At 40.4% G+C, this 13,512-nt stretch overlaps 1 protein-coding gene and 1 pseudogene across 17 annotated transcripts in view, besides 2 other annotated features; one reads left to right on the top strand and one right to left on the bottom strand.

Annotated features, from left to right (window-relative positions):
* Positions 1-13,512, bottom strand: part of PPP1R12B (protein phosphatase 1 regulatory subunit 12B) — a 244,004-nt gene that overhangs the window by 215,298 nt on the left and 15,194 nt on the right. The gene's annotated exons all lie outside the window — the stretch shown is intronic.
* Positions 1,758-1,958: a silencer, noted in NCBI's record as "peak653 fragment used in MPRA reporter construct". NCBI's record gives its function as "represses an SCP1 promoter by STARR-seq MPRAs in K562 erythroleukemia cells {active_cell/tissue: K562}" and the evidence as "EXISTENCE:reporter gene assay evidence [ECO:0000049][PMID:32103011]".
* Positions 7,603-8,077, top strand: CYCSP4 (CYCS pseudogene 4; annotated as a pseudogene).
* Positions 12,348-13,085: an enhancer, noted in NCBI's record as "H3K27ac-H3K4me1 hESC enhancer chr1:202333448-202334185 (GRCh37/hg19 assembly coordinates)". NCBI's record gives its function as "activates a minimal SCP1, AML or CMV promoter by ChIP-STARR-seq in primed H9 embryonic stem cells {active_cell/tissue: H9 hESC(primed)}" and the evidence as "EXISTENCE:reporter gene assay evidence [ECO:0000049][PMID:30033119]".

Genomic DNA, 13,512 nt, shown 5'->3' with positions numbered 1-13,512 from the left:
CATGAACCCGGGAGGCGGAGCTTGCAGTGAGTCGAGATCACGCCACTGAACTCCAGCCTGGGCGACAGAGCGAAAAAAAAAAAAAGATACTACCCTTCTCACATTACTACTCCAAAATATTCAACCCGTTTATTTAATAAGCAGTTACGAGATACCCAACCTGCCAGGAACCATGCCTTTCCCAATTGAAAGTAACCTCTATCTTCTCAGAACATCTACACTAATTAGCCAGTGTATTCATTCCATAATTATCCCGCCTTAAACAGCTAGTTGTTACTGTTTTCATGACACCATGTCTTAGCTCACCAAATGGTGTTAACAGGGGTATCCAATCTTTTGGCTTCCTTGGGCCACATTGGAAGAATCGTCCTGGGCTACACATAAAACACACTAATACTAATGATGGCTGATGAGCACAAACAAAACAAAAAAGCCAAAAAAATCTCATAATGTTTTAAGAAAGTTTATGAATTTGTGTTGGGTCACATTCAAAGCTGTCCTGGGCCGCACGTGGCCTCAGGGGCCATAGGTTGGACAAGCTTGGTGTAAAAGATTCACCTCCCAGCATTCAAAAAGAATAAAAAGGTATAAGGTTGAAAAAAATTGTCTCTGATGAACTCTGGTTAGTGCACTATCCTATTATTTAATATTTATATTATATTGAAAAAACTTTAATAATCCTTCCCATATTCCTTTACTACAAATAACAACTTCCAGGGTAATTTTTACATCAAATAAATGATTAAGACTAATTTTATTTAATCCACATACAACTTATAAAAGGATGCAATCTTTATATATAAGATTGTATTTTCATACCAATCCCTAAACTGTTTTTAAAATTTAGTTTGTTTTATTCTTACTACCACTCACGTTTCTATCCATCCATTCAATTTATACTTTCAGTTTGCTTCCAGCTGATTCAATACCTATGACACAGCAAATTGTCTAAATTTTGCAAGAACTTTCAACATCCAAGGCACTTATTCCTAACAGTTGCACTCCTCACATTGATACACTCCCTGAAGGTCAAGGATCTAAATTCTGTAATATTTTTAGCATCTAAAATCCTGGTTTATGCTCTCCTTCTAGTTCTCTTGGTCTTTAAAAGATGTAAGAACATGCTATCAAATTCCTAATTCCCTGTTAAGCCCTAACCAACCAAAGTTTAACTAATAAAAAAAAACCTAAAACAAGAATTATTAAGAAAGAAAATCAAATATTTTTAAGCAAAGGAAGTTATAAGGTTTGAAATACAAATTCTGATTATTCCAACTCTGATTATTCTTATTAAATTATCAACTGGAACACCTCACTGCTCTTTTCTTGCCACCACCCCCTTCCTCTGCTCAGTTCATTCATTGAACAAATCTTTATTCCCAATGCCTAAGACTTAATAGATACTGCCATAGATGCAATTAACATAACAGTGAATAAGTTAGGCACACTCCCTCCCTTCCCAGAGCCTAAAGTGTATTGACCATAAGAATATATGACAAATTAAACTATAAGACTATATGACAAGTGTTATGACAGGTAAGCTATAAGAAACAAAGTGGGGGCGGGATGCCATGGCTCATGCCAGCATTTTGGGAGTCTGAGGGGGAGGACTGCTTGAGGCCAGGCATTTGAGACCAGCCTGGGCAATACCGTGAGACCTTGTCTCTACAAAATAAAGATTAAAAAATTACTCGAGCATGGTGGCACACACCTGTAGACCTATCTACTTGGGAGGATCCCTTGAGCCCAGCAGTTTGAAGTTACAGTGAGCTATGATTACACCACTGCACAACATAGTGAGAACCCTATCTCTTAAAAACACAAGGAAAAGATATAAAGGGAAAACACAGTATAGGTTATGCCATGGGAGGCTCCTTAGAGGCACTGATGTTGAACCTGAGACCTGTAAAATTGGTAGTCAAAGAAGAGAGACAATAAGGATTGTGGAAGTAGGAGAAGGAAATGTATTAAGACTAGGAGATGAGAAAATGACATAATTGAGAAAGTGAAAAATGATCAGTGTGGCTGAAGCATAGAATTCAAAAACGGGAACAACAAGAAGTGAGACTAGAGAACAGGGCAATGACAACCACTGAAAGATTTTAAGAAAGGTGTGAAATATTCAGGTTTTCCTGGCTGAAGCATAGAAAATAGTTTGAGAGGCCAGATGCAGTGGCTCACGCCTGTAATCCTAGCACTTTGGGAGGCCGAGGCAGGCAGATCACTTGAGGTCAGGAGTTTGAAATCAGCCTGACCAACATGGTGAAAGCCCATCTCTACTAAAAATACAAAAAATTAGCCGGGCGTGGTGGCACATGCCTGTAATCCCAGCTACTCGGGAGGCTGAGGCATGAGAATCGCTTGAACCCAGGAGGCGAAGGTTGCAGTGAGCTGAGATCGCACCATCTCACTTCGGCCTGGGCGACAGAACGAGCCTCTGTCTAAAGAAAAAAAGAAAAGAAGAAAATAGTTGGAGAAAGAAGAATAGAAGCATGGAAATCATTCAGCAGACTGTTTCTGTAACCCAGGTGAGAGACAATGACTTGGACTAAAGTGGATGAGGCAGGGCACGGTGGCTCACGCCTGTAATCCTAGCACTTTGGGAGGCGGAGGCAGAGGCGGGCGGATTGCCTGAGCTCAGGAGTTCGAGACCAGGCGGGCAGACTGCCTGAGATTAGGAGTTCGAGGCCAGCCTGGGCAACATGGTGAAACCCTGTCTCTACTAAAACTACAAAAAAATTAGCTGGGCGTGGCGGCATGCACCTGTAGCCCCAGCTACTCAGGAGGCTGAGGCAGGAGAATTGCTTGAACCTGGGAGGCGGAGGTTGCAAGTGAGCCGAGATTGCGCCACTGCACTCCAGCCTGGGTGACAGAGTGAGACTCCGTCTCAAAAAAAAAAAAAAAAAAAAAAGAGAGAGACAAATGAAAGCAGATGGATTTGATTAACATATAGGAGGTATGATCCACAGGATTTGGTGACTACAACCTCATGAGAGGACCAGCATGAGAGGTCCATGTCTCTTTTATTCCCTACTATATTCACAGTGCTAGGTATCTAGCACATAGTTAACTGCTGTATAAACATTATTGAACAAATAAGAAAAACAAGGAATCACAGATGTTACCTAGGTTTCTGGCATAATGACTGGGTAAAGGGAGGTGCCCTTTACTGAGATAGTAAACAGAGGAGAAGCAGTTCATATAAAATATGTTGAGTCTGAGGTACCTAAAAGCCTTCAAGGAAAGATAATGAGAATCCAGTTGGATATATAGTTATAAAGCTCAGGAGAAAATGTAAAATAATGGCAGCCTCAGTGCCTCAGTTAAAGCTACAGCTGATAACTGTCACTTTTAAAGCATACTATGTGAGACATCATCCCAATAATCCTTTTAAATTTCCCAGGGTTATTAACGGTTTTATAATCAAGGGTATCAAAAAATTAATATACCTTCTTGACCATTAGAAATAATATTTTATTTCTTGACCATTAGAAATAATATTTTATTTCTTGACCAAGGTGGTGGTAACTCAAACCTCTGCTTTACAAAAATCTATTAAGTTATACATTTGTGTTTTATGTACACTTTTCTGTGTGTTAAATTTTGCAATAAAAAGGGGATTTTTTTAAACCTTCATAAACTAGAAATAAGAAAATTCCTTAATCAAAGAAGCTACTGGAAACTAAACATCATATTTCTAGTAGAAACACTAGTGACATTCTCGTTAAAGGAAAAAAAAAACAAAGATATCTTCTGTCACAATTATTAATAGTGTTCTAAATGTTCTGGTTAAAAATGAAGACCTGACAATAAAAAAAGGAAGGCATAAGGGTCTTTTCAACAATGGTGCTGGGACAACTGGATATCCACATGCAAAAGAATAAAGATGGACCCCCCTAGCTCACACCATATATAAAAATTAACTCAAAATGTATCAAAGACCCAAGTGTAAGAGCTAAAACTACACAACTCTAAGAGAAAACATAGGTGTAAATCTTTGTGACTTGGGAAGAGGCAATAGTTTCTTAGATACAACACTAAAAGTAGAAGCAACAAAATTCTCAAATTTTTCTCTGAAAAATTAGAGAAATTAGACACCATCAAAATTAAAAACTTTATAGTGTCAAAGATTTAAACCTTTGGGGCAAAACCAAAAAGAAATTATCAGTGGCCAGGTGCGGTGGCTCACACCTGTAATCCCAGCACTTTGGGAGGCTGAGGAGGGAGGATCACTTGAGGTCAGGAGTTCAAGACCAGCCTGGCCAACATGGTGAAACCCCATCTCTACCAAAAATACAAAAAATTAGCCAGGCGTGGTGGTGTGCGCCTGTAGTCCCAGCTACTCAGGAGGCTGAGGCATGAGAATCACTTGAACCAGGGAGGCGAAGGTTGCTGCGAGCCAAGATAGTGCCAGTGTACTCCAGCCTGGGTGACAGAGCAAGACTCCATCTTACAAAAAAAAAAGAAATTATCATCAGGATTAACAGATGCTAATATATAACTGAAAAATCCAGAATTTGAGAAAGCCAACAACATAGTTCAGTAAGAAAATCAAATAAATACTACTACTACTTTTTAAAAACTGCTTTTCTTTTTTCTTTTATTTTTTACTTTTTTATTTTTTTTTATTTTGAGACAGAGTCTCACTCTGTTGCCCAGGCTGAAGTGCAGCAGCACAATCACAGTTCACTATAGACCTGAATTCCCAGGCCCAAGTGGTCCTCCTACCTCAGCCTCCCAAGTAGCTGGGACCACAGGCATATGCCACCATGCCCAGCTATTTTTTTGTTTGTTTTTTTGTAGAGATGGGGTTTCTCTATGTTGCCCAGCCTCCCAAAGTGCTGAGATTACAGGTGTGAGCCACCTTGTCCAGGCAAAATTGCTTTATTTATTTTTTTTTTTTGAGACAGGGTCTCACTCTGTCACCCAGGCTGAAGTTTAGTGTTGATCTCAGCTCACTGCAGCCTCTGCCTCACAGGCTCAAGCCATCTTCCCTCCTCGGACTCCTGAGTAGCTGGAACTATCCGCACGCACCACCATACCTGGCTAATTTTTGTATTTTTTCTAGAGATGGGGTCTTGCTTTGTTGCCCAGGCTGGTCTTGAACTCCTGGATTCAAGCAATCCACCCACTTCAGCTTCCCAAAGTGCTAAGATTACAGATAAGAGCCACTGGAACCGGCCAAAAATTACTTTTATAATATAAGAAAAACTGATTGGAAAATATAATGAAGGGGCTGGGCGCAGTGGCTCACGCCTATAATCCCAACACTTTGGGAGGCCGAGGTGGGTAGATCACCTGAGGTCAGGAGTTCAAGACCAGCCTGGCCAACATGGTGAAATCCAGTCTCTACAAAAATACAAAAATTAGCCAGATGTGGTGGCACGTGCCTGTAATCCCAGCTACTCGGGAGGCTGAGGCAGGAGAATCACTTGAACCTGGGAGGCAGAGGTTGCAGTGAGCTGAGATCATGCCGCTGCACTCCAGCAGAGTGCAGAGGGCAACAGAGCGATACTCCGTCTCCAAAAAAAAAAAAAAAAAAAAAAGAAACTATAATGAAGGAAATGGCATCCAGAATATCAACATAACAACAAAAAAACTTCTTTTGAATAACGCACCATGTTTATGTAAAATGTTAACATTCAGGAAAGCTGGGTGAAGGGTATACAAATACTCTCTCTCTAAACTATCTTTGCAACTTTTTTGTAAATCTTAAATCACTTCTAAATAAAAAGTTTATTCAAAACAAAACAAGAACGTAAAGAAACAAGGCATAGACCAGGGTAAAATATCTATAATATATTTATCTGACCAAGGACTTATATCCAGAAAACATCAAGAATGCCTACAAATCAATAATAAAAAACAAAAAGCAAATTTAATGTACAAAAGACTGAAATCAGACACACACACACACACACACTCCAAATAATGAATAAATATGCGAAAAGGTGCTGAACATCACTAGTCATTGCAGAAGTGTAAATTAAAACCAAAATGAAATAACACTATACAAACAATGGCTAATATTAAAAAGAAAAGGAAAAAAATGCACTGACAATATTAAATATCAACAAAGATGTAGGCTGGGCACAGTGGCTCACGCCTGTAATCCCAGCACTTTGGGAGGCTAAAGTAGGAGGATCGCTTGAGCCCAGGAGTTTGAGACCAGCCTGAGCAACATAGCAGGACTCTGTCTCTACAAAAAAAAAAAAAAAAAAAATAGCTGGGTGTGGTGGTGCACACCTGTAGTCCCAGCTATTTGGAAGGCTGAGGTGGCAGAAAGGCATGAGCCTGGAAGATTGAGGCTGCAGTGAGCCGTGATCAAGCCAATGCACTCCAGCCTGAGTGGCAGAGTGAGACAGAGAGAGACTCTATCTCAAAAAAAAAAAAAAAAAAAAAAGATGTGGAGCAAATGGAACTCGTGTTCAAAAAAAATGACAATATCAGATATCAACAAAGATGTGGAGCAAACAGAATTCTAATTCATTGCTAGGGGTAGTATAAAATGGTACAACCACATCAGAAAACAGCAAGTTGCTAATAAAGCTAAGATTTTACATTCTCAGCCGGGCACGATGGCTGATGCCTGTAATCCCAGCACTTTAGGAGGCTGAGGCAGGTGGATCACCTGAGGTCAGTAGTTCGAGACCAGCCTGGCCAACATAGTGAAACCTTGCCTCTACTAAAAGTACAAAAAATTAGTTGGGTGTGGTGGCAGGCGCCTGTAATCCCAGCTACTAGGGAGGCTGAGGCAGGAGAATCGCTTGAACCCGGGAGGCGGAGGTTGCAGTGAGCTGAGATCGTGCCACTGCACTCCAGCCTAGTGACAGAGTAAGACTCCATCTCAAAAAAAAAAAATTATATACTCTATAACCCAGCAATTTCATTCTCAGGTATTTACCCAAGAGAAATAAAAACAATATGTCTACAAAAAGATTTGTAGACTACTCACAGCATCTTTATCATCTTTATTCATAATAGCAAAAAAAAGGAAATAACTCAAATGTCAATAATCAGAAGAATAAACTAATTTTGGAATACTCACACAATGGAATACTACTCAGCCATAAAAAACAATAAACTATGGATACGTGAAAAATGAATAAATCTCAAAAACATTATGTTCAGTTGAAGAAACCAAACTTTAAAAGGTACATATTCTATATTCCTTTTAAAACAGCTAAAACTGAAAGAGTGGGATGTCCGGCTTCTGAACAGGAAGTTCGTAGTACCAGTGATGAGAGACAGAATTAAATATGGGTGATGTTGAGAAAGGCAAGAAGAGTTTTGTTCAGAAGTGTGCCCAAGGCCGGGCATGGTAGTTTACGCCTGTAGTCCCAGTACTTTGGGAGGTGAGGTGGGCAGATTACTTGGGCCCAGCAGTTCATGACTAGCCTGGACAACATGGTGAAACCCCATCTTGATAAAAAATACAAAAATTAGCCGGGTATGGTGGTGCATGCCTGTAGCCCCAGCTACTCGGGTGGCTGAGGTGGGAGGATGGCTTGAGCCCAGGAGGCAGAGGTTGCAGTGAGCCAAGATCGTGCCACTGCACTCCAGCCTGGATGATGGAGCCAGAACTTGTCTTAAAAAAAAAAAAAGTGTGCCCAATGCCACACCATGGTAAAGCGAGGCAAGTACAAGAGTGAGCCAAATCTCCATGGTCTATTTATGCAGAAGACAGGTCAGGCCACTGAATTCTCTCACAGACGCCAATGAGAACAAAGGCATCACCTGAGGAGAGGAGACACTGATGGAGTATTTGCAGAATCCCAAGAAGTACATCCCTGGAACAAAAATGACCATTGTCAGCACTAAGAAGAAGGCAGAAAGGGCAGACTTGATAGCTTATCTCAGAAAAGCTAATAATCAGTAATAATTGACCACATGACTTTTTTATGTGTACATAATTTAATAGCTCTCTAATATACATCAGAATTCAAATCATGAATAACTCACAGAATATTTTTGTTGAGCAGTCCTGATTTAATTAAGACTCGCTTGTGGTTAAATGAATACATTTGGGTTTTTTAAAATTTTAACAGTAATTCTGATTCAGTAAATGGTATCACTGTTTCCCCCTTCTAAAACTATGATTGGACTTAATTCGTAGTGTTCAACTTTTCACAAAGATGGTGAATGCCATCTTAAAACCTATTAGAGATTGGCTTTATATTTAGATTTATATAACTAGCTATATGAATATATTTAAATACTGGGGAAATGTCTTCACTGTCTCAGAACCAAGCAAGACCCACCTGTGTTCTGCGTTCACGTGCCTCTTAAAGGCAAAGACTAAAGATAAGGTAACAATGTCTACTTTATATTTCTGGTCTTAACTATGTCAATTTAATTAGAATTCTCTGTGTCTAAAATGGTTCCTTGGCTGGGCATAGTGGCTCATGCCTGTAATCACAATACTTTTTTGGGGCTGAAGTGGGAGGATTGCTTGAGGCCACAAGTTGGACCACATAGAGAGACCTCATCTGTACAAAAATTAAAAATAGCCAGGCATGGTGGTGCATTCCTGTAGTCGTAGCTACTCAGGAGGCTGAGGTGGAAGGATGGCTTGGGCCCAGGAGTCAAGGTTGCAGTGAGCCATGATCCTGCCATTGCAACCCATCCTGTGTGACACAGTAAGACCCCATCTCAAAATAAAATGGTTCTTTTAACTTATTAAAAGGCATTTTATATGGCTTATATATATCAAATAAAGAATAGTTAATATTTCTTGAAAAAAAAAAAGAAAAATACAGCCAACACTAATTCTAGAATGATAGAAATTATAACAGTGGTAGCCTGGGGGAGGATGAAGGGGTGGTGGGTAGAACTTTCAAAGGAGGCAAAAATGTCCTATTTCTTGATTTGGGTGATGGTTACCATATTAGGCTATTCTTGTGTTGCTATAAAGAAATACCTGAGGCTGACTAGTTTATTAAAAAAAGAGATTTAATTGTTTCACAATTCTGCAGGCTGCACAAGCATGGCACTGACATCTGCTTGGCTCCTGGGGAGGCCTCAGGGAGCTTTTACTCACAGTGGAGGGCGAAGCGGAGCAAGCACATCACAGGGCGAGAATGGGAGCAAGGTTGCGGGGGGCAGTGCCAGACACTTTTAAATGACCAGATCTTGGCCGGGCGCAGTGGCTCACACCTGTAATCCCAGCACTTTGGGAGGCCGAGGGAGGCAGATCACCTGAGGTCAGGAGTTCAACATCAGCCTGGCCAACATGGTGAAACCCTGTTTCTACTAAAAATACAAAAAATTAGCCGGGTGTGGTGGCAGGCGCCTATAATCCCAGCTACTCGGGAAACTGAGGCAGGAGAATCGCTTGAACCTGGGAGGCGGAGGTTGCAGTGAGCTGAGATCACACCACTGCACTCCAGCTTGGGCAACAAGAGCAAAACTCCGTCTCTAAAAACAAAAAAACAAAAAAAAAACAGATCTCCTGAGACTGCACTCACTATCTTGAGAACAGCACCAAACCATGAGGGACCCTCCCGTATGACCCACACACTTCCCACCAGGTCCCACCTCCAACATTGCAGATTACATCTCAACATGAGATTTGCGGGGGACAGATATCCAAACCATATTGGTTACATGGTTGTATACGTTGTCAAAACCCATCAAACTGTAGATTTAAGTTCTATGCATTTTACTATATGTAAAATTTACCTCAATTTAAAAAAATGAGAAGGTGAGGAAAGTTCATCTGAAATTTTTAGATATCATGGCCTGGAAGTGCTTCACTACAAAGGTGACATTTGCAAGCCATGTGTGTAGCTGATGGAATAGCATTCCAGGCAGAAGGAAAAACAGATGTGAGGCCCTTAAGCATCTATTCCTAGCAACTGGAGTTTTTGAGAAACAAGGAGGACACTAATGTGACTGGAATGGGTTGAACAAGGGAAAGACAAGTACTGAGAGCTAATGGGGGATCAGATGATACAGTGTCTGGTAGGTCACGGTAAGACTCACTAAAGATTTTTATCCTCATCTTAGTCTAAAAGAAAATCACCTAAATGCCTACTAAGAATAAGGCACTGTGCACAGACAGCTTACATAAAGCTTATGTAAGTAGCAAAACCAGGATTAGAAACCAACTATGTCTGATTCCAAAGCTCATAATCTTAACCACTTTGCTTTACTAACTAAACATAACAATACTCAATATTTACTGAATGCTTACTATCAATACGTTAGAGCTAAAAGGCTTTATATCAGATCTTCCCAATCATTTATTGTTCTAAAATGGCTTATAAGTAGTGTAATGTAAAGATCTTCTGAATAAAATTTTGTATTGTATTAAAAATGTTTTGCAACCAACTAAAAATTCAGGATGGGTAAAGTTATATTTAATTCATATAGTTCTCTACATAAACTTCCTAATTATAATTTTGGTACAGAAAACTATGCACATGACTTCACTATATGGAACCACTTAAGTACCATAGTTTTGGTACATAAAACTATGCACATGGCACAGTACAGTGACTCCATGAAATAGCCCCTTCTCTTGATCTTCCTGTTGAATCATTTTAGTCTATATTTTTATTTTAGTCTACATTGTTTAACAATCAGTGAGGTTCTACGTTTTGCACCCATATGTAAATGAAGTTTTCTATTTAATTTGCTCTAATAGCACCACAATTTCTAAATGTATGTTTGTCATCAAAAGCATTATAATCAACATCATCATTATTAATACATCTGGTATTATTAGGTGTTCCTAAATAAAACATAATTTTGTAGTTTCTTAGTCTATTTATTTAATATTCATACATTTTTATTCTGTTGCTCAATGTCTGATTTTTAATGTATTTTGTTATCATTACTGTATTAAGAAAACACAACTGATTTTTTTTTTTTTTTTTTTTTTTTGAGATGGAGTCTCGCTCTGTCTCCCAGGCTGGAGTGCAGTGGTGCGTTCTTGGCTCACTGCAACCTCCGCCTCCCAGTTCAAGCAATTCTCCTGCCTCAGCCTCCCGAGTAGCTGGGATTACAGGCATGTGCCACCATGCTTGGCTAATTTTTGTATTTTTAGTAGAGACGGAGCTTCGCCATGTTGGCCAAGCTGGTCTCGGACTCCTGACCTCAAGTGATCTGCCCGCCTCAGCCTCCCAAAGTGCTGGGATTACAGGCATGAGCCACCACACCCAGCAACAATGAATTTTTATACCAAATTTGCAAATATTCTCTAGTTTACCAGGGGTCTTACACAAATGTCGTCTTCTGTGTATACCATGACATGAAGGAGGTAGGAAAACAATGCTTTAGCTATTACTTCACACTGAGTAGGTGCAGAATTCTGATAATATAAAAATCTCAGTAGTAATGGAATGCTAAAAGAATCCTATCTCTATAAAACTATGTCTCTAAGAGGTTTTTTTGTGGGGGGGCGGGAGTGGAGGGACAGGGTCTTGCTCGGTCACCCAGGCTGGAGTGCAGCGGTGCAATCATAGTTCATTGCAGCCCGAAACTCCCAGGCTCAGGTAATCCTCCCGCCTTAGCCTCCTGAGTAGCTGGGACTACAGAGGTATGCCACCATGCCCAGCTAATTTTTGTATTTTTGTAGAGATGGGGTTTTGCTATGTTGCCCAGGCTAAGATCAAGCAATCCGCCCACCTCAGCCTCCCAAAGTGCTGTCATTACAGGTGCTAAGAGGCTTTTAAAAAAATAAAGAGGTCTAAATGGAGAGGTGAGCCAGGATTTCAGAAAACCAGCACAACCTAGGTAGAAGACTAAAAGCTTCTGAGTCAGACAGATGTGAATTTAAATACCAGCATGACGTGTGATCCCTAGGTTAGGACAAATTACCTTCTTTGATTCTTCTTCCTCATCATTAAGTGGAATAAACCACCTATTTGGTAGAGCTGTTGATGTAAAGATAATTTTTAAAAAGCAAAATGCATAGCAACACTTGGTATAAAGCAGCACTCAGTAAAAATTACTTTTTTTTTTTCTTTTTTAGAGACTGTCTCACTCTGTTGCCTAGTCTGGAATGCAGTGGTGTAATCTTGGCTCAACCACCCTGGCACAAGCAATCTTCCTGCCTCAGCCTCCTGAGTAGCCACAACTGCAGGCGACCACAATTGGCTTTTTTTTTTAGACTTAGGATTTCCCTGTCTCTAAAAATGCCCAGGCTGGTCTCAAACTCCTGGCCTCAAGTGATCCTCTCGCCTTGGCATCCCAAGGTGCTGGAATTACAAGCATGAGCCACTAAAGCTGGCCACAGTACTTATGGTAATTTTAACATACCATGAGTTCAACTATGTTAAAATATTTGCAAAAGCTAAGACAGCCTGAGGAAGAACAAAGGAAAAAAAACCAATTAATATGTTAGGGTGGTATTTGTACTAATTGTTTTTTGTTTTAAAAAATTTTGCTGGCTGGGTGCGGTAGCTCATGCCTGCAATCCCAGCACTTTGGGAGGCTGAGGTGGAAGGACTGCTTGAGCCCAGGAGTTCAAGACCTGCCTGGGCAACACAGTGAGACCACATCTCTACAAAAAATTTTAAAATGAGGCCGGGCGCCGTGGCTCACGCCTGTAATCCCAGCACTTTGGGAGGCCGAGGCGGGCCCATCACGAGGTCAGGAGATCGAGATCATCCTGGCTAACACAGTGAAACCCCGTCTCTACTAAAAATACAAAAACTTAGCCGAGCATGGTGGCGGGCGCCTGTAGTCCCAGCTACTCGGGAGGCTGAAACAGGAGAATGGCGTGAACCCAGGAGGCGGAGCTTGCAGTGAGCCGAGATCATGCCACTGCACTCCAGCCTGGGTGACAGAGCAAGACTCCGTCTCAAAAAAAATAAATAAATAAAAATAAATAAATTAATTAAAAAATTAAAAAATGAGGCAGGAGGAATGCTTGAGCCCAGGAAGTCAAGGCTGTAGTGAGCCATGATTGAGCCGCTGCTCTCTTACCTGGGTGACAGAGTAAGACCTTGCAATGTTATCATGTTGCTTAGTAGTAGATACATATAGAGATGAATAAGTCAAATGTAAAACCAATTCTTAATAGAATCCTTAGATTAGTTATCTTGGAACATGAATAATGACCCCTGATGTTTCTATTACTTTGAAGTTTTTGAAAGAGGAATACAACTATAAGGTATCATCCTTCTTCAAAAGTTCTTCAAAAGAATTTAGAGCACATTTTGCTTCTTCTCAAAGTACTAATAATTTGCAAATAACTACATTTCCATAGACAGAAAAGAATATCAAGCAGAAGTTTGATAAATAGAACATTTCATTATATCTTATTTCTGTACCATGCTTAAGGTATTCCTTTAGCTTTTTTCTAGGCCTCATATTTCTCATTTGTATTAATAAAATGGGCCAGGCATGGTGGCTCACACCTGTAATCCCAGCACTTTGGGAGGCCAAGGCAGGCATATCACTTGATGACAGGAGTTCGAGACCAGCCTGGCCAATATGGTGAAACCCGTCTCTACTAAAAATACAAAAATTAGCTGGGCATGGTGGCGTGTGCCTGTAGTCCCA

Source organism: Homo sapiens, chromosome 1, assembly GCF_000001405.40.
Source record: "Homo sapiens chromosome 1, GRCh38.p14 Primary Assembly".
Taxonomy (NCBI): Eukaryota; Metazoa; Chordata; class Mammalia; order Primates; family Hominidae; genus Homo; species Homo sapiens.
The sequence above is the reverse complement of the archived record's forward strand: the minus strand, read 5'-3'. Positions and strand labels throughout refer to the sequence as shown.